This window comes from Homo sapiens, chromosome 3 (genome assembly GCF_000001405.40).
Source record: "Homo sapiens chromosome 3, GRCh38.p14 Primary Assembly".
NCBI lineage: Eukaryota > Metazoa > Chordata > Mammalia > Primates > Hominidae > Homo > Homo sapiens.
Window position 1 is genome coordinate 74,612,758 of NC_000003.12, and position 21,725 is coordinate 74,634,482.

At 39.5% G+C, this 21,725-nt stretch overlaps 1 protein-coding gene and 1 long non-coding RNA gene across 4 annotated transcripts in view; one reads left to right on the forward strand and one right to left on the reverse strand.

The window, feature by feature from the left end:
- CNTN3 (contactin 3) overlaps positions 1-1,902 on the reverse strand; it is a 352,092-nt gene extending 350,190 nt beyond the window's left edge. Inside the window, exon 1 of one of the 2 annotated variants that reach the window (NM_020872.3) lies at positions 1,634-1,902. The gene's annotated coding sequence lies outside the window, so the exon portion shown is untranslated. Of the gene's footprint in view, positions 1-990 lie in introns of both variants that reach the window. The other variant, NM_001393376.1, reaches the window with a different exon arrangement.
- LOC105377166 (uncharacterized) lies at positions 1,046-9,966 on the forward strand. Of its 2 annotated transcripts, none has more exons than XR_007096257.1 (3): positions 1,046-1,134; positions 3,516-3,690; positions 9,669-9,966. It is a non-coding gene; the product is annotated as an uncharacterized LOC105377166 (long non-coding RNA). The 2 variants fall into 2 exon arrangements; XR_940969.3 differs by lacking the exon at positions 1,046-1,134 and adding an exon at positions 2,200-2,737.
- Positions 9,967-21,725: the final 11,759 nt, after the last annotated feature.

The window sequence follows — 21,725 nt, forward strand, 5'->3', positions numbered from 1 at the left end:
GCAAGTATTCAAAGACCAATAATTCCCAACCCCACTCTTTATTATTTGCAAGCCAACATCCTTCCATTTAGTGAGGCTGAACCCGATCAGATTTCTTTAATGAACATTCACAAGGACCTCTCCCATTGCAACCAGTGACATGCACGTATTAGGCATCTTACAAATGTTGCACAAATTGATATGAATATTAACCTGCAGTCAACTTTCTCCCTAGTCCCATGACCCACAAATGGTTAAAACCATGAACCAAGATGCCAGGTTACTGCAGCCAAAGTCAGGTTACTGTTAGTAAACACATCTAGCAAAGCAAAAGTAACACATTTGACTTGATATTGAGATATAAGCTCTTTCAAAGGCAATTACTCCTCCTTTCAATCTCTGAAGGGCTCTGACTCATTGTTCTGATTAATTCCTGTTTTTAATCTATTTACAGATCAGGATTCTTTTTCAGCTAGTGTGATATTCATCTCTGTGGGGGTAGACAGAAACCACAGCACGTACAGTCTTCCTACTTTTTTTTTTTTTTTTTTAGTTATTCTTGCTTAATCATTTTAAAATTATTTCTGGATTTACCTACTCACCATATGAGCTGGGGTTTCTGACCTCCCTCCTGCACATCACGCCCTCCTTGTCTGTTGCTTTTTCTAGCTCTGTTTCCCTGCATCTTGGGTTGAGGTTAGCAGACTGGCTACCCCTTTCCCAGAGCTCTGTTCCCCTTTCTTTGCCTCTGAAAGGAGGTTTGCTGTCCTTACCGTAGCGGACACCGTTTGTTATTAAATAATACCTCTGGACACATCTCCTTGTTGTAAATCAATAAGCAAATGCAATACAGGGAAAGACATACGGATTGGAGAGTTGTACGGAGCTTTGCACAAGCAGAGCCCAGAAGCTGTTCGTTCATTTCACGCGACCAGAAAAAATTCCTGATGGTGCTATGACCCCGGTGCCCGGTTGGCACTTCCTGGTTTTCTGTTTCTGCTATTCTGTTACCTGCTTGGTTAGCTTTGCAGGCTCCTCAGAGAACACAGAAACAGCTGAAACCAGGGTCCGAGCTCAGGAAACCTGGACTACAGCGCAGCAGGGTAAACCTGACAAATAAACGCGACGGGGAACTCCGTCCCAAGCTGCTGATCTGTGAGTAGAAAGAAAATGCAGCTTAGAAAACTTGATCGCTAATGAAAGAATCGGCCACCCTAGCTTTCTCAGACCTGGGAATCTGGGCCTGGGGGGTGGTTCCAGCAAAGAGGTATCACATTCCCACATTCTGCATCATGCACCTGGAATTGTTCCTCAGCATCCCTAGGAGTCACAACTTTTTTCCCCCAACTTTAACTGGTCAAATCCACTGCGCGAAGGGCAAGCCCAAGGGACCTACCACTCAATTTTCAGCGCTCCAGCTGGGGATGCAGCCTTCCCAACCCGAAACCAATCCTCGCCCCAGAAGGGGAAAAATAATCTCCCCAGAGCAAGTCCGATGAGAGAAGCATCTTTTATTCTCGACCCGTCAGGTGCATTTCCCTGCAAACAAACTTCGGGGCTGAGGAGCCATGAAGCCAGGGCGTAAAGTTTGCCCTGGCAGGTGGCTCATCCCTGTGGCCCGGCCGGCGCCAGGAGTCGGGCATCCCGGACTTACCTGGTCTCTGCAGCTCGCCAGACGCCCGCCCCGACGGCCCACTCGCCGCCGCCGCCGCCGCCGCCGCCGCCGCCACCGCCGCCGCCGCAGTTAGTCCGGGCCCGGGGGGCCGCCGTGCGCGCCCGCGTAAGCCGCCGCCGCCGCAGGCGCAGCACCCTCGTCCGCACGGTTCCCGGCCCAGTCCACGGCGCCAGCCCGCCCGCCGCTGCCACCGCCGCCGCCGCCAAGCGCCAGGCTGCTGTGGCTGCTGCCGGCGCCTAGCGAGCACTGCCCGTGCCTCCGCCACTCCGGCTCCGGCTCCGGCTCCGACGCGGACGCTGGAGGGAGGGGAGACCGGGCGGACTGGAGGGAGGGAGGGGCGGGGAGCGCGGCGGAGCAGCCAACTGGGTCCCGAGCCTCGCGTCTGCGGCGCCCCCAGCGCCTCTGCGCCGGCCGGACCCCGCGCGGCCCTGCGCTCGGCCGCGTGCACCCACGTGTGTCCGGCCTCCGCAGGGCCCTGGGCGGCGGCGCGGGCTGGGCGGCGGTCACCGTGTCACCTCCGGGTGGCCTCGTGCCACGCAGTTAGGGCCCTCGGAACACGGGGTTAAGGCAGGAATTCCACTTCTAGAAAAGCCTCCTGCAGCTGCGCTCCCACAAGTGCGCAAAGATTGCCAATTTTAATATTAAAGCGGATAATTATTAAGGGCTCACTAGGTAGCAGGTCGTGGACTGCGCTAAATCAATTAGTTCATGCAGTCCCCAGAGCAACCTGGATCTATTATTATTCCCGGATTTAGTGATGAGGAAATTGGTTTGCTTAAAGTTTCAATGAGTCAGTTGTGAGAATAATCGCAACTATATTCTGTCAAGGACCCTGTGAAGTAGATCTTACCACCTTTATTTGCCCAAGTATACACACAGTGGTGGGTTGGAGAACCCGGACTTGAATAAGCCTGTTGCAGTCCTGAGCCTTTGCGCTGAACCGCTGGTGACTTACTTCCAGTCAAACCCGTGCAAACACTGCAACTTTAGTTGTACGAAAAACAGTTGGGAACAACCTACCTGTCCTTCATTAGGAGAGTGGCTGATAAAATACAGTGGAGACATACAGCGGCAGAGAGAAAGGTGCATCTACTAGTATTGGCATAAATGACCTCCAAGAGGTATCCTTAGAGGCTGGGCGGAGGTGGGTCACTCCTGTAATCCCAGCACTTTGAGAAGCCAAGACAGGTGGATCTCTTGAGCCCAGGAGTTTGAGACCAGCCTGGGCAACATAGGGAGACTTTGTCTCTGCAAAAAACAAACAAACAAAAAGTTTAAATTAGGTGGGCGTCATGGCACGCACCTGTTGTCCCAACTACTTGAGAGGTTGAGGTGGGAGGAGCACTTGAGGGATCACTCGAGCTCAGGAGGTGGAAGCTGCAGTGAGCCATGATTGTGCCACAGCACTCCAGACCAAAAGACTGAGGGAGACCCTGTCTCTAAATAAATAAAAAAATAAATAAACGGTATTGTTAGGAGAACTTGGGACATGTACTGTTGATCGGCACAGGAAAGTTGGTACCTGTACCGTTTTTGTGCTTACAAGCACTTACACACACACACACACACACACACACACACACACACGCACGCACCCTTTTGTGTGTATGTATCCATATTTATGCATTCACAATTTCTGAAAGGATGTCTAAGGATACTGTTAACAATTGTTAGTCCTAGTGAGTGAGACTGAAATTGGAGCAGAGGAGACTTTATACTTTTCATTTTATAATTCTCTGACATTGTTTTTAAAATGTATCACGTTGTCCCTTCATATTAAATAATCTAGTCACATTTAATTAGACTTGACAGTTTATGGCCCTGTTTCCTCTCCTTGATCCTCTCCCTGTGATTCCTGCAGATGGAATGAAGCAACACCTCATCAAGAGAAGCAACCTGGGCAAACCAGGCCTGGTTTAACTGCACTTTCTCACGTTTGATCATTTTCTCAAGAGATACGTGCGTGGTCCTCTGCAATTCAGAATGAAATCTGAACTTCTGGAAAAACTCTCCTAGAGGGGGTTTGAGGACAAGAGGTAAGACCCAGGTCAGTCAGATGCAAGGTGCCGCTCCCTACAGCAAAGTCAGCATGTAGGCCCCCTGCATTTCCAATTGCCACAAAGAAGTTGCTTGGTACTTTGGAAGACTGAGGTGGGAGAATCCCTTGAGCCCTGGAGTTTGAGACCAGCCTGGGCAATACAGTGAGACCGCCTCTCAACAAAAAATTTAAAAATTAGCTGAGCATGATGGTGTGTGTCTGCAGTCCCAGCTGCTTGGGAGGCTGTGGCAGGAGGAGATCGCTTGAGCCTGGGAGGTCCAGGCTGCAGTGGGCCATGATTGAACCACTGCACTCCAGCCTGGGTGACAGAGCAAGACCCTATCTCAAAACAGAACAACAACAATAACAAAAAAAGAAATTGCATGAATGGCTTGACCAGGTGATTTTTCCCTAGTCCCCCTTACTCTATGAGCATACAACAGGATTCTTGAATACATTAGGGAACTTCTGGCCACATTTGCCCTCTCTCACTTTATCAGGAAACTGCTCATCCCTACAAGAGTAATAGCTGGATTACAAAAAATTCCGGGGTTATTTATGTTTTAAAAAGAGGTTGGGGGAGACAGGAATAGATAGAGCACGCTGCTATAAATAAAAATCATGTGCTTTTTCCCCATCAGAATTAAATTGCAGTAAATTTGGACTCCTTAAGCTTCCTCTACTTAGCCAAAGGAAAAAGAAATAGAACAGGTACAGAAAGGTTGTTTATGGTTGTTTCAGTTGTTACTGGTTACTGTAAATAATCTTTTTGCTTGCAATCTGGGAACATGTTGGCAAACCCCCTGCAGGTGACAAAATGTTTTATTGGGTAGAACTGGTGTGTTCTGGAAGGAGCCGAGAGAACTTTACATGCAAATTATGCCCATGCCTTGCCCCTAGCAGGTGCAATTACTGCCATGCCCACATCCATCACAGGCATGGCTCTTCTTTTAATATTTTCAACTTGATGTCTCCTAATACATTTTTCTTCTAATACATACATATATACCTTGTCTAATGGGAAGGGAAAGAGCATTTTCATCAAGGAGGGGGAGCTGGCCACAGGCAGCAAAATGACAGGGAGAAAGACAGGAAAGAAGCTCCTTTAAATTAGAAAGAAATCTAAACCCTAACCCCTTCCAGCCCTCTCCAAATAATTAGTCATTTCTAAACTCAGATTACATTGCCTGTGCTAGTAAAAGCTGATTAGTGCTGGAAAGGGATTTAATGGAATTTTGAGTCTTATGGTTGCAGTGGGGGGGTTGGTGGGGGCTGGCAGATCCTAAAAATTGTAGAAATAATGATGAACATTTAATATAAGCCACAGTCTCATAGACAGGTAAAAGGTGTATAAATATATGTATATAGAGAGACGTGAATCATTTTATACCCTCCCTTTGCCCAAAATGTAAAGCATAATGTGAGTCAACTGAAAGCCTGGTATTTACCAAAAGTTGATACACAAGGGCAGTTTTCAATACAATTTCCATCCAATTTCTGGGCCGGAAGCCCAGGAAATTAAAAAAAAATTAAAGGCACATGTGGGTCTTCTCAGTGTGAATGCCGGATGGAATTTTTATTGAATTTGGCCTCAACTGATTGTAGCATTATAAGCAATTCTGCAGTTAAGTTTCAGCAGCCATTTAGATGGCAAATCCCTTTTTTAGGGTATTATAACTAATAATAATAACTTCCTTTTTATATGGCACCTTTTATATCAAGCACTTTAAAGTGTGAGATCATCTTCCCATTATTAAGATACCCCATCTGTGTTGGAATATAGAAGCTATTTCATGCCAGTGACACCACATAACAGTTATTTGTTTGCATGTTTATTGTGTAGCAAAGGGAAATGAAGAAAAATATCTACTAAACCCAAAGACTGAAATTCTTAGGTAAAAGTATAAATTGGAATATAGCCAAGCTACTAAGTTAAACACATCTTTTTCTATAAAAGGGGTTAGGGAGTCTTAATTTCCACATATGGAAATAGAAGTCTTATTGTTATCACCATGGTACTGATCCAAAGTTCTAGTTTATATCTAGATGCTGTGATTAAATTGTAGGGTGTATGATACTGTTATATTATCTCCATTGCTGGGGTGGATGGCTCTGAGAGGTTTTTTGAGTCAGACTAAAGAGTAATAATAAGTTTTCAGCATCCAAATTGGAGTAAGGCAATAAGGTTGTTACAGTAAGTGCATAATAGTGTCAAAAATTCTTTATATGCATTCATATAAAATTGCTTAGCACTATGACTGGAACTTAGCTCCACATACTAATCACATAATAACTAATTCAGGTATCGACTCATTTCTTTTCTTCTCCAAAGACGTTTTCTGAATTTCCTGTCTATAATAGCACTGCTGTCATTCTCTTTACTTCATAGAGCAAATGGTTATGTGACAATTCTTTACATGCCTTTTTTTAATTATTGCTGATTTCCTTCACTACAATGTAAGCTTCATGAAGGTAGGGGCTTTGTTTTCTGTACTGTTGCATTCAGAGCTCCCAGCACGAATCTGACATGTACATAATGGGTGTGCAGTAAATGTATATTTCATGATTGAGGAACTTCCAATATGCCAGGCACTGTATTATTTGCTTATTCTCGGCACTTTGCAATCTTTACAACAACTTCATGAAGAAACTACTGTTTTATCACCTTTCTACAGATGAAGGAACTAAGACACAAAAAAGGAAACTCATATATTTGGAAGCTCAGCCTTCTGAGGTTATACAAACTGTAATCCAGACATTTAATGCCAGATTCTCTGCTCTGTGCTGTACACCCTGTGAGTTCAAATGGATTTTATCAACCATCTAGTCTAGCGCTTCTCAAACTTTAATGTGCCTATGAATCACCTGGAGACCTTGTTAAAATGCAGATTCAGATTCAGCAGGTCTAGGGCGGGGCCTGGGACTCTGCATTTCATCCAAGCTCTTGGATGATGCTGGTGCTTCTGATCCACAGACTGAACTTCGAGGATTTAGGATATAATCCAAACCTTTCATGTTCACATATAAGCCACTTGACACATCCCAGATGTTAGAGGATCGGACTAATGGAAATTAAAAACAGTATTGGAATTACTTAGTCATAAAAATCATAGAATTCCATTTAGAATTATTTATTCTAAGATAACAGTGGCTAGTACAGAGTGAAATCTCAGCAAATATTAATTTTCTAGGCAGAAGAAGAAACTAAGACACAGAAAGATTATGCAACTTTCCCCAGTTCATTCAGGAACCAGCAGGCCCTGAAGACTGTCTTCTCTTTCTGACCATAATACCCTGGCTCCGCTCAATTAGTTTTTTAAAGGTAGATTTCATGGAAATTTGAAATAGCAACACACTGACAAAGTTAAGAGAGTTGGTAAAGAAGGTGTGCACCAATGTGGTTATCAGTTGCATTTTGGTAGGAATGAGGTTGTTGCAACCTAAGGAACAAAAGAGATCAGTTGAAGTTCACAACGATTGAATTGAAAATGTGTTACATAAAATGCTAAAGAATACTATATATAAAGACTGTTCACCCCAATGTTTGTGATGTACTCTTTCTTGGGTACATAAGTTTCTGAATTAACAATTCTGTCTATGTTCTCTTTTCCCCAAAATATTAATGGGTATAATACTATCTTTTCCATTTAAATATCATGTTTTAAAGAAGAGATTATTATGCACATAGATTTATCACTTCGTTGAAAGTAAGCTTTTGTATTAAATTATGTATCTTTCATTAATTTAGCTGATCAGTTTTTTAAGGTAGATTTCAACAAGCATCTATTTTATCATCTACCTAAAATGTTCATTCCAAGACTGTCAACCTTTCTTGGAGTAAAAATGAAGATTTTTTTCATTTGTTAAAATGTACAAAACATTTCCTTACTTATTTGTGTTTTAGTTCTGCTCATATTGTTATGCTACTTTTCTGACATTAGTAAATGTTAAGATTAAACTTCTGCTTTATGTGTATCTTTAAAATGTTTTATATCTAAATAAACCTTAGTTGATATGTTGAGAAAAAGGATTTTCTTAAAACTTAGGGTGAAAGAAAGTTCTTCACAGGGTAGTTTAACAGTGGGGAAAAAATGGCTCCTCATATATGAAGGATGGCTTGTATTAGGCAAAAAAGTATCTTGGATGAAGTATAAAGAATGAAAGTAATGGTTACCTGAATCAACTCCAGCTGTTATAACAAATTACCATAGATGGGACGCCTTAAATGACAAATATTGATTTCTCATAATTTCTCTGGAGGCTGGAAGTCCAAGGTCAGGATGCCAGCATGGTGGCGTTCTAGCGAAGGCCCTCTTCCTGGCTTGCCATCTTCTTCTTGTATCCTCACAGGTGGACAACAGAGAGAGAGGAAGCAAGCTCTCTGGTCTCTTTTTATAAGGATTCTATTCTCATTCCTGAGGGCTGCACCCTCATAACCTAATTACCTCCCAAAGGCCCCAGCTTCTAATGCCATCACATTAGAGATTAAGATTTCAACATATGGATTTTGGGAAGACAAAAACATTTAGTCCACAATAGTGGTACAAACAAAGTTGAGGTAAAATACTATGGGAGATAAGAAGCAGTTATATAGAAGACCAAGAGACCGGCCAGGCACTGTGGCTCAGGCATGTAATCCCAACACTTAGGAGGTTGATGTGGCTGGATCACTTGAACCCAGGAGTTCAAGACCAGCCTGGACAACATGGGGAAACCCCATCACTACAAAAGTAGAAAAATTAGCTGGGCATGGTAGTATGTGCCTATAATTTCAGCTACTCTGGAGGTCGAACCTCTTAAGCCTGGGAGGTTGGGGCTGCAGTCAGCTGTGATTGCACCACTGCACTCCACCTGGGTGACAGAGCAAGAACCTGTCTAAAAAAAAAAAAAAAAAAAAAAGAAGAAAAAGAAGAAGAAGAAGGAGGAGACTAAGAAACAAGCAAGAAAAAGTTTACGTTTATTTTCATTTATAGATCCCGACAGAATCTATAAGGTTGTATGACAAATAATATTATGACAACATTCATAGGCATCTGTATCAAGGGGGTGTTTTGGGCTCTAAAAAAAGAAGATAAAAAGAGTAGTTTTTATTTCAACAAATTTACCTCCATTGAAATGGTTTTACTTTAATAACTTACTGCAGCCTTAATATGAGTAATCATTGGTATAAAAGATCACAAAGTAATTCATTTGTTCATATGGTTAAACTTCTCTCTATGGCCATTTGATCTATAGAAGTAAGGTCCTGTTTCACTATTTGCTACCAACTGAGCAGTGTCTTGGGGAATGAGTAATTTCCATACCAAGTTACAACTGAACAAAGCACAAGGAATCCTTTGTTTCCTCCAGAGATCGGAGGAAAAGCAGCTGATGTTGAAAGTTCTAAAGGCCACCTTTGGTGCTCTCTCATGGCCCCACATACAGCATGCATTAACATGTTCATTGAATGAACACACCTCAAGTGGTTAGGTTTCTAAAATTCTAAAATTCTTTCTTGTCATTTATTTGGATTACTGATTTTTGAATTTTCTTTTCATTTTTGTCAAAATCATGAAAGAAGAGATTTTCCTCATTGGAACACATACTTTATTATGCTAAAATATTCCTTTGGAGAAACCGATCACTAGAATCCTTTAGTGATTCTGAGATTTCACTGCACATTAGAATCACCTGGAGGACTTTAAAAATATTGATGCCCTGGCTTCACCTCACACTGATTAGTTTAGAATCTCTGAGGGGCAGTACCCAGGCATCAGAATCTATTTAAATTGTCTGTGGGATTCCAATGTGCACATAAGTTTGAGTTGTATTTACTGTGGGTTGAATAGTGTACCCTCAAAAGATATGATGAAGTCCTAACCTCAGGTACTTGTGAATGTCACCTTATTTGGAAATAGGGTCTTTGCAGATATAGTTGGTTAAGATAAGGTCTTATTGGATTATGCTGAGTCCTAATCTGATGACTTGTATCTTCAGACAAGGGAAATTTGGACACAGACATACAAAGAGGAGAGAATGCTATATGAAGACACAGAGACAGACAGACCCAGAGAACAGATGGCCATGTGACCACAGAGGCTGTGATTGGCATTGCATAGCTACAAGCCAGGAAACTCTGAGGATTTCCAGAAACCTCCAGAAGTTAGTAGAGAGGTATGGAATAGATTCTCCCCATGCCTGAGCTGCCAAGAAGGAACTAAGCCTGCTGATACCTTGATTTTGGACATCTGGCCTCCTGAACTGTGAGAGAATAAATTTCTGTTGTGTTAAGCCATTCAGTTTGTGGTACAACAGCCCTGGGGAACTAATACAGCACTTCTTAGTCAACCCAAGGAGAGGGCTCATTTGCAGGATGGAATTCCTCCCCTTTTTAACATTTAGCCATCTAGTCGCAATGGTGGGCAGGTTCTAAATTGATAGCCATTTCCACTGACTTTGCTAGAGTAAATATTTTGCGTCCTCCCATCCCTCTCTCATGCCCCACCACTGTCATTAAACAAGGCAGAAGAATTCAAAGCACTTACCTTGATGAAACATTTCTTTGGGTCATTATAGTTTCAAGGATTAGAATTTTCCACTTGTTATTCCAAGCATTTGTTTGCCTGAGCACTTTCTATCATGGTCCATAAAATACTGTGTAAGTCTCATCACTCCAATAGTTTCTCTTTTAACCAAGTCCAATTGTTCCAGGATACAATCAGTATAATCAAAATATTTCAAAAGTTGAAATCAATGAAAAACAGGTGGCTTTCTTTTTCTTGAGTCTTTTGTCCAAAATGATGGGTTCACACATATATTTTGCCATGAAATAATTTCTTCCATTATTTCTTTGGTAATTATGAAATAATCCTAAACTACAAGCAATTTTAAAGATGAGATTCAAAAAAACTTTAAGTGATTTTTGGCATCCTTAAACTATTATGACAATTATCTCAATCACTGGAAGAAAAGTATAGGTGTGGTTTGGACACAGGTGCAAATAACATAGTAATCAAAATGCTGATAAAGCAATCCTCTTCCCAGTCAACCATTTGACTAAATAAGTAACTTTAGGTTTGACCTCAATTAATGAGGTATATTCAGGTTTCAAAGCAGGTTTAGAAGTGTATGAACTATGAACTATGACTCCCAAATATAATTGTTACCTATCTGATACCCAAGCTAGCAGAAACTATGACTATCAGTGCAGTTATGCAACTATAAAAAGCATCAGGAGAGTTATGCAACTATAAAAATCATCAGGAGAGTTATCAAGTAAGATGTTAGTTGACCATTTAAGACAGAAAATAGAGATATCTTAAAATTAGAAGTGAGTCACATGAATAGAAATACCACTGGTGGAGAGGGAGAAAGCTTCTAACTTTTCTTACCAAATATTGCTAGTTCCTTGAAATAATCATTATTAGTATTTTGGCTAATCTTATTATTGCCACTAGGAAAAATTCCTTAGGGTATTTCAGCCTTTAACATCCTTAGGATCCTGAGAGGGGGAAACACACAGAAAGGCAGAAAATTAGGATTATGTTACTTAGATGATTGGAGAAGAAGATCTCTTCCCCTATGAAAGCCAACATATTTTATACATAGTTCATGGCTGATTACATAATACATGGTGTTCAGTGAAAAATGAAAATGCAGGACCCCTTGTTCAAAAATCAGGAAACAGGTGTTGTATATGAACATTTTTCCTTTCTTTCATGGCCTTTCTTAAATTGTCATGATGTTTTTCACTTGTTCTTTAATGTCATTCTAAGTAAAGAATAATTAAAATGTTAATTATTAGCATGAACTTCACTATTCATCTTTATACTGTACCATGCCAGTTTTAAATGCTAGTTTAAATATAAGAGCACTTAACTCAAACACAGAATCACTGAAATTATACAATTTGTAACTTGTAGTTTCTACATGTTTATGTATTTTTCTTACCAGAACAATGGAAACACTGAACAAAGCTGACTTGGATGTTGCTATTTAGTTTGGTATGCACACATTCTACCAATGCTCTCCACTTTTGGCTTACTAACGAGTGAGGAATGACTGAAAGAAAAAGGAACACGAATTGCATTATCTTTCACTGTTCTTCTATGTCATAATTTTCACATCAGTGGTTGACTAATGCAGGGAAGTAATACAAATGAGAAAAGATATAGTAAGGTTCCTTGGTCATTAGTATTTCTTAGAATATAATTGGTCTCTTTCTGAAATTCTAGCGAAATTCTGATTCCAGTTGAAAGTGTGGCCTCTCAGGGCTATCTGCAATTGCTTACTTAGTTGTCTATTGCTTACTCAATTGCTTACCCCAACAACCAGCTTACTCTTTACTCAACTGAGGTCTTGCTGAACCTCCACACATACAGCACCAGTGCACTGGAAATCTGTGTTCATGGGCCTTGAAGAACATTATCTGTGAATGGCACAACAAGGTACGTCAGACATGCACATTGCACATATATCCTGTACTCAAGCATATGCTGCATTGTTTCGTTGCATTTTACATACAAAAGACAAGTTCAAAGATAAAATAATTAAGAATTTCAAGACAGCTACAGCATAGCATTAAAGCAAGCACAGGACTCTTCTGAGCATGTGGTGCTATGAGAATGGGCAGGCCATATAACCTTGAAGCTTCTCTGGGCAAAGCCATTACATAATTACAATTTTCAAATTTAATTCCACCTTTCCACTAACATAGGATTTTCTGGATTTAAATTTAACGTTTGGGGTAATGGTGAAAAACATTCAAGCTAATAGGTTACTTGAGTGGCATAAAAAATGCTTTGATTTTTTAGCTATTGTATCTTAATTTTGATTTAGTGAAGATCAATTGCTTTCTTGTGTGAAATAGGTAGGCATACTCTTCATTCTTATTTTTCCCTTTCCAATTTTTTTTCTTTGATTCATGCTGTAAATTTGCTATTGGGAGCTACTCATGTTCTATATTCTGGAGGTATGAAATCTATTTAACAAGGTGTGGGCAATTCATGTTTACTAGAGAACAATATAATTTCACGAACAGTTGCACCCTCCCTCGTTGAACACATTTATATGCATTTATGTATTTTTTAAAAACTTAGCATAGGCCAGGCGTGGTGGCTCACGCCTGTAATCCCAGCACTTTGGGAGGCTGAGGCAGATGGATAGGCTGAGGCAGATGGATCACCTGAGGTCAGGAGTTCGAGACCAGCCTGACCAACAAGGTGAAACCCCCGTCTCTACTAAAAATACAAAGCCAGGCGTGGTGGCAGGTGCCTGTAGTCCCATCTACTCAGGAGGTTGAGACAGGAAAATTGCTTGAACCCAGGAGGCAGAGGTTGCAGTGAGCTGAGATCACGCTACTGCAATCTAGCCTGGGTGATGGCAGGAGACTCTATCACACACACACAAACACACACACACACACACACACACACACACACACAAATACTGTAATTATTCACATTGATGTCTTTCTCTTAAGGAACAATTTTTATATCATATGTTTTATAAAATGATGATAAGGTTCTTAGACACATGGCTATATTATTCAGTGATAGATCCTTTGAGAGTAAACCTGCCTTTTCCCCAATGTTGATCTACTTTTCCCACCACTCTTTTTTAAAGGATTCTTGCATTTAAAATTTAGATCATTAACTTCGAGCAAAGAATGGCAGAATCTCAAAACTGGCATACATTACAAGAAAGCAGCCTGGAGGCTACTCATACTCTTCCAAGTTTTACTACTCCCAGGTGCTGCTTTTGTTGAAAACACTCCAGCTCTACCCTGTATTTGGTACGCTGCCCTGCTTACCAAGAGTGCAAATCTATTGTAAACCTTATTCTTAATAAGGCTACCAGGATCAGAGCCAATCAAAAAAGGAATAGCCTTCATAAATATTCACACCTCACTAGAGATTTAGCTGTAACAAGTAATGAATAGTCATAGGGAATCTCATCATTGACTGAGACCCATCAATGCAAAAACAGAACCCCATTTCTAAAACCAAATTAAATGAAGTGTGTCTGTAAAAGACAGGCAAAAACTAGTATTATGAGAACATTATTTTAAGATAGAGATGTTTATATTATATCCCATGTATCATTTATTTTCTCCCCCCAATTAAATATCAATTTTAAATATAAATATCTCTTTTAAAACATATTTTTCCAAATATACCATTATTTCTTTTCTTCTACTAGAATAACCGTATTCCTATGCCACAGACAGCAATACGATGCATTCATTTTCTCTGTGTAGCACATCTGTTTGCTTACAGGACTCATGGGAGAGTAGTAGGTGATTTTTTAAATGGTTTCTGGCTTGTGGTAGAACATTTCATCCTGGAAACTGGAAAACCACTTGGTCCAACTACCTTCAATTTGAGAATAAAATATTTGGTCTTAAAACATAAAGTGGGTAGAGGCATATGGACTACAATGAGTCAGGAAGTATTCTGGACATTAAATCTGGGAGAGCGGGGGAAAATGTGTCTCTCCTTCCTTATTTCTCTCTTTACTGCTTGCTAAATAGAACTGTCAAAGCCTCCAACCTCCTGCATCTGTTGCAATATTTTGTAGATTAGACATTTGGAAAGCACTATTGTCTTTCTGAATCAGTCTTGAATGTGATCATCTCTCTATTCTGAAACCCATGCAATTAAAAAGTGTTGTATAGATATGTACGACAAACAGGACGCCTCTGGTTGTCTGACATAATTTCTCTATCCACACCTCCACCCATCTGCATTATCAAACTGTAGAAGTGACTTAGAGGACTGCTACATATTTTAGTACATACGTAAAGTAAGTCTAGAAAGAATTTCCTGATTTATCCATTTAACACTCTTATTATCCACCCATCCATCTCTCTCTCTTTTTGAAGTAAATTGTAGTTGACTTAACAGCAAATTCATTTCACAGCTTGTGACCACTTCTGTACCCTACCCAACACCTTCTATTCAAGAAACTTGCAACTGCCTTTTAAATTAAATACAAATTTCTCAGCTTTACATTCTGATTTTCTCATTTGGACTCTATCTGAGTCAGAAAGCTTTGGACAACAAACAATAAGTATTCAAAGAAAATGTATTTCTTCATAGAACTAAAAATACCAGGCCTAGCATTAGCTTCAGATACAGCTAGATTCAGAGCCTCAAATCATCTCATCAGCAGTGTCTCTCTCTTCTTTCTTGCCTCTTCTCTTCATTGTATTGAATTTAGTATTAAACATATCTTCTCCATTTGGTGACCTCTCACAGCTGCGGTCTTACATGTTCTCAGCTTCAAGTCCATGAGGAAGAGACTGCTTGTAATGTAAATATTTTCAATATAAGTTCCAGAAGGATGTCTTGATGCACTCATTGGTCTTCCTTGATTTACCCACCTATCCTTGAGCCAACCTCTGAAATTGGAGGAAGATGAATGTCATGACTGACAGACTTGAGCCGTATTCTCACCCTTAGAACTAGTCATGCAATCAACTCTACCTAAAAAATATTAACTGTGATACTCATGGGAAAAGTAAGATCCTGTAGATGAAAAGTAGGCATCCATCAGAAGCCACAGCCTACATTTCCTGTCTTGTCTTCTCAATTTTCCTCCCAACACCCTGTAATCAAGTCCTCCCTGATTTTACTTACCATGCAACCAGGGGAATGGCAGTGGAGATTCTTTGCCTAATTGGAAGTTATGAGTTTCAGTCATGTCTTAGGAAGGCATAGTCATCCTCCTAAGAGACTGCAGTTAACCATGTAAGGGCTTTCAAGAAATCTTTCTACCAGTTCTGAGCCCAAAACATAGCCTTGAAATCAAATCTCACTGTTAAAGACAGTTGTCACTGGGGAGACTGGACTTCTGTTAAGGTAGAAGCTTAATTTTGGCCTCAGAGTTTTAGTGGCGGTGGCCTCTCTGAGATGTTTAATCATATATTCAACACAGGTTTAGTCATGTATTGATCACAAAGAGCAGATAGTAAGCTAATTGTTCCAACCCCTTGGGCTTCGCATTTGAATTAAGCACCTCAGACTTTCACTGCAGTGCAGTGGTCAAACAGGAAAGTCTGAATAGTCCCCTGGTTGCCTACCCCATTGACTTATCCAAAGGCTATTTCCTAAAGTTATGATTCTGCTAAGCAGTGGATCCCCAACAGAAAATAGGATGCAAAGGCAAGTTTTTGATGTAGACGAATTTTTGGAGTCTAGCCCGTGCCTGTTTCCCACAAGTCGCAGCCACCCAGAAAAGCTGGACAAGCAGTATAGGCATTTTCTGGTGTCTTCTAGACCCTTGCTCCTCAAACTCTTGCCTGAAGACCAGTAGCATTAGCATGATTTGGGAGCTTGTTAGCAATACAATACCATAGGTTCTACTCCAAAAAATCTCTCTGATATTTATAGCTTTATGGTGATAGATCCTAGTGGATGACTGTAATGAAGAGCCAAGCTTTATAGTCAGACTTGATCATTAACCTTTTTGAACATTTTGTTTCCTTAGCTTTATAATGCGGATAATAATGATAAATACATTGCTGGCATGAGGATTACATTAATTAATGGATACAAGTATTTTGAATAGTGTATGGGACATAGTGATTCCCCAATCAACATGACTTTTTATAATATAATTATAATTATTCCTATCATCTTGTTCTTGAAATCAGAAATGAGAATGACCTGGGGGCAACTCTTCACTCAAGGCATATGCAAAGATGTAGAGCTACCCTCAAGTAAGTGAATACAGCATCTTTTCCTTCACACTTTTGAATCATTTTTTGTGAGTGTGTTTTGTTTATCCAGCAGGGAACATTTTGGTCATTCAGCATTGATCTGTTGTTTTTTTCCCCACCTTTCAGGAAACCTGTCCGATAAAATACTTTGTCCTTTGTGATATTTGTTTCGTTTGGGTCTTGGGATTGCTTTTGTTGCCTGTCCTATGCCCGCTTACCCTCTAAGAAGTTGGCCTTAGCAACACTCTCTAACTTTCGATCACATAGAATTAACCACATTATCTTTGTCTCTTTTACTACACCATTGCATTTACCAGCTTATGTGCCTGCCACATTTTCTTATTTTGTGCCCTTCAAAAGGCAAGAACTATTTTTTTTGTATCCCCAGGGCCTAGATCAAAAATTTCAGTCCATAATTCCTTTTTTTATTTTTATTTTTTTATAGAAACAGGGTCTTGCGTTATTGCTCAGGCTGATTTCAAACTCCTCACTTCAATGATCCTCCTGCCTCAGCCTCCCAAAGTGTTGGGATTACAGGTGTAAGCCACTGCATCTGTTCCATAATAACTTTTTATAATAAGAAATGGAGGGAACAATGAGTTGACTGTAAAACAAGTTCCCTGGAAGAAGAATGGATTCTGACATATTGGTTAATTATCACCATATTAATACTTGTAACAAATTGCCCCAAGACTTGGTTGCTTAAAAATAACCATCTATTCATGCTCATATGTCTGTGGTTCAGCTGGTCCTGCTGGCTTGGCTGTACAGCTGCGCTTCCCAGTGTGGGTCTGCCTGGGCTGGGCTCGGCTCCTTACCATAGATTTGGCCGTCTGTACCATATGCATTGATTATGAGGACCCAGCTGAAGTTGCAGTAGTAAACCAGGGAAACTTTTCTTATGGTGATGGCTGAGGTGCAAAACAGTAAGTTTTACCATGTAAACCTATTTCAAACCTTTGTTTGCATCATGATACTCCCATCCAGTTGGGGGGGGGCGAGTGGAAATAGCAAAATAACTAAGCCTAAAGTCAATGGGGTGGGTAAAAATACACTTTGAGCCTATGAGAAGAAGCGAAATATCTTGAGACGAAAGGCATAGATACAGGTAAAGGTGAAGAATTGTGACCAACATTTCAATCTGCCTTATCAGGGTATAAAGAGAATGTGTGAAAGAAATAACCGTCCTAGAGTTGGATGGTTTAATTTAGTCATTGCTGTTCTAGGATTTATTTGTGGTCTGTGTCCAAAATATCTAAGGAAGATTCTACTTTAAATCACATGTGAAGGTCTCTTGAAATAATGCTTGTAGAGTTGTGTTTTTACTGCATTTAAAATAAAATTGTATACATTTATTGATACAAGAATATTGCTGCGCTATGCTTACTAAATATAAGATTAGATTCTTTCATGTCTAGGTTGTCCTTATTATGATCCTGGTTTTGCAAATTCCCCAAGTGAAATTGCCTCCTCAATGATTGCTAATAATAACGACCCTCTCCTCAGAAAGGTAATGTTAATTAGCCTTCTTCCTAATAACGAATCACCCTCCATAAACAGTTACAGATTTTTTTTCTTTTGGATTTACAAATCACTGTGATTTTAATACAAGTTTTTGCAGCAGTTTCAAGGTTTACTATTTTGCACCCTCTGCTGGGGGAAAAACAAAGAGAATGACAGCAGATGTGGAGAAGTAAGTAATATGGGATATGAAGTGAAAGACTTAGATCAGAAGAGCACTTGCCTCATGAACGTCTTTCATTTTGCAATTACATTGAGAATACGTTTCTATAACTCTTCTTACATAAACAACATATTATGAAATTTAAATTCATGAACATTAACCTAAAAATATCCAAACTTACAATTTATGGAATTCAGAGATCTGAAATATTTCTTTTAAGCCTTCCCTACGGGTGGATTTGGAATATACTTAGAGTAAATTCCATTGATAAAGAACCAAAATAGCAAGAAAAGGAAATATTAAGTATCTGAAAAACTGAGGCTTAAAAGGTACTTTCCATTAAGAAAGCCACCACAAGCTAGTAAATTTCTGTTCTGAATTTCATAGAAGAGGTTGTCAACTTATGCAGTACTTGAATTATAGGGAAACAAATATCTTTTTGCTTAAAAGGTAAATTTAAATGCTGTAACCTCTTACAGTGAATTACTAATAATGCTAATGGCATTATTCACTGACATACCCTTTTATTTAAAGGTCTTCATAGAGTGGAAAAAGCAACCTAAAATTTCTTCAAGTTAGGTTTAAAACATAGCATAAATCTGAATTCCATAATGCTTTACATCAGATGGAAGAAAGTAGCTATCTCTAAAATATTCTCACACTCTTATTCATAACAAGTGAATAATTTCATCAGAGTGAAATCATCACTTGGAATGACAAACATTTTAAATGGAAGAATGTTAGTTTCAACAGACTTTGTTTCTAATTCTGTCTGCCTATACATCTACAAACATTTGTGTGGCTGTCCTAGTTTATGTTGAATGCCATGATATATTGCTGAAAGTGGTCAAACTTATCCATTTCCTACACTTTTATAATCCACAGTTTAAAGAATATTTCAGCCGACACTGCTGTCTCAGTAGCCCCTGGTGCAACACAAGCCTGATATTTTCTAATCCGAGGTTATTTTTCAGGTCATCAATTCTATTTTCAAACATCTGACAGACTCTGGTGTTCTTAATTAGAATGGTGTCACATCCATCGATCATTATCTTTATGACTTCAATTTTCTCCTCAACTTGTAACAAGTTCTGATTCAGGCTTTCATGGACCTTGTGTGTTGCTTTCTGAATCACATCTCCTAGCACTTGCTAAGCCAGTCTGACATCATTTGATAAGTAAAATAAGTATTCTCAGATGTGAAATCAAAAATAGAGTTTACCACCAAGGAAGGGACCTTGAAACCAAAGTGCAATTTCTGATGTTTCTCTTTCTCTCCTCTTCTCTGTTTCTCTCTCTCTCTCTTTTTTCTACATAATGCTACATAGTTATACCAATATTAAAAATCATATACCAATAAAACAAAATATAGATGTAAATAAAGTTACATTTCCGTATCTTTTTATTGGTAATCTTTAATGATATAGGAAACATAAATATGTGACCTTTGTAAATACAGCCCTCTTAGATAGAGCCGTAGATGACAATACAGGAGAAAGGACCACAAAGTTTAGTTAGCTGCATTTTTTCCAGGTTGATGCTATAAGATTACTTCTTATAATCTTGGCTCTCCTTTCCAATCTTTCTACCACATTTGACAATTTATACTGGTTTAGCAGACATTAGTGCCTTCAAAGTCTCTTCAAAATGTCACCCTTGTCTGTTTATTCATGTGTTATAACTTGGCTGGAGTATCTTCTTTCCTTCTCATTTCTACTTCTTCACATTAGATTAGCCCAGCCCATGTACAATAATTTACCATAAAACTGTTTTTTTCAAAAATATCATCATGCAGTGATATTTTTTTCCTAATGTTAGGACAAATCTAATTAATTATTTAACTTTTTTCAATTAATTAGTTAGTTAATTATGTCACATATTTGTCTCTTCAACACAAATTTGGGTTGAGTTGATTAACCTTTGTACTTTCAGATCTCTTTTGCAATTTTCTCCTGAGGGAGCTAAAAAAAAAAAAAAAACTCTTCCATCCAATGACACCCGTTGAGTTGATTGTCCCAATTTATTTTCTTGCCACATAGAGAAAGATCTTAAATTAGAATTTGTTTTGTCCTCATTATTAGCACTTGTCAAGCTTTTTCGTAAACATTTCTACCTTTCTCTTAGTCTGGATTCTTTCAGTTGCAAGTAATAGAAAACACAATAAGACTAGCTCAAAGAATTTATATATCCATAATGTTGCAGCCAATGATACAGGCTAGTTCTCAGAATGAAAAGGAGATCTAAGGCCTTAGATACTGAATATGAAGAGTCAGTGTTTCGTGGATTTTTTCTGTATGTGTCTGTGTCCTTCTCTGCATCTCCTCCCTACACTGGCCTTTATCTCCAGATCAGCAAAGCTCTAGGTATGTAGTGAGGATCATAGCTAACCAAACCACCAACTTAGCAACTCTGGCAATGAGCCTGTCCCTCATGGGACTAACAAAGAGTAATCCAGGAAAGGCATTTGATTGGCCCTGTTTTCATTTCTATACTCACATCTTGGATCAATCACAGCTGCTTGGGTTGAAAAATTACTGGTTTGAACCATATGTGATTCCTGTTTCTGTAGGTTCAAAATGGTCAAATACAGGCAGTTTCAGATGGTTCAACCGGAAGAGGGTCAGGCCCAAGTCACATGCTACCCGTGCCATAAGATAGTCTTCTACTATGATGTGAAGAAGGGAGTGAGAAAACTGCCAGCCAACTGAAAAAATTAGCTATTATAGTTACAATAAAATCTTTTTTTTTAAACTTAAAGCTAATAACATTGACTTTATTACATGAGGATTTGACCCATGCAACTATACCTGGATCAATATAAACCCGTTCTTTTCTAATATGAGGTTATTTTGCAGGTCATCAATTGTGTTTCTAAGAATCTATAAAGCCTTTGGGAGAACGAGGCAGGTGGATCACCTGAGGTTGGGAGTTTGAGACCAGCCTGACCAACATGGAGAAACCCCATCTCTACTAAAAACACAAAATTAGCCAGGTGTGGTGGCATGTGCCTGTAATCACAGCTACTTGGGAGGCTGAGGCAGGAGAATTGCTTGAACCCAGGAGGTGGAGTTTGCGGTGAGCCGAGATCTTCCCATTGCACTCCAGCCTGGGCAACAGGAGCAAAACTTCGTCTCAAAAACAAACAAACAAACAAAAACCAAAACTAAAAAGTTCTGTTATTCTTAATAAGAATGGTAAAGACAGTTATACATATAGTCATACATTTATTCTTCTTACTAAAATGGATTTTGCTCTATGATCATGTTTCATATGCTAAATCTAATGGCAGTTCATACCCAATTCTCAAGTAATTGAGGGCCACATTCTGAAATGTTTCCTATCTTTATCTTCTTGCACAAAGCCAGTATCCTATATTAAAAGATGAATGTTTTTTCACTTGGGATCCTGTAATGAAAGATATTTCAAAAGTCTTTTAAGTAACTCATAGGTATGAGACTGATATTATTTCCTTGGAGTTTGGTTGTTTTGTCTTTTTTTGTTTGTTTGTTTGAGACAGTTTCGCTCTGTCACCCAGGCTGGAGTGCAGTGGTATGATCTCAGCTCACTGTAACCTCTGCCTCCCAGGTTCAAGCTATTCTCCTGCCTCAGCCTCCCAAGTAGCAGGGATTACAGGCGTGTTCCACCATGC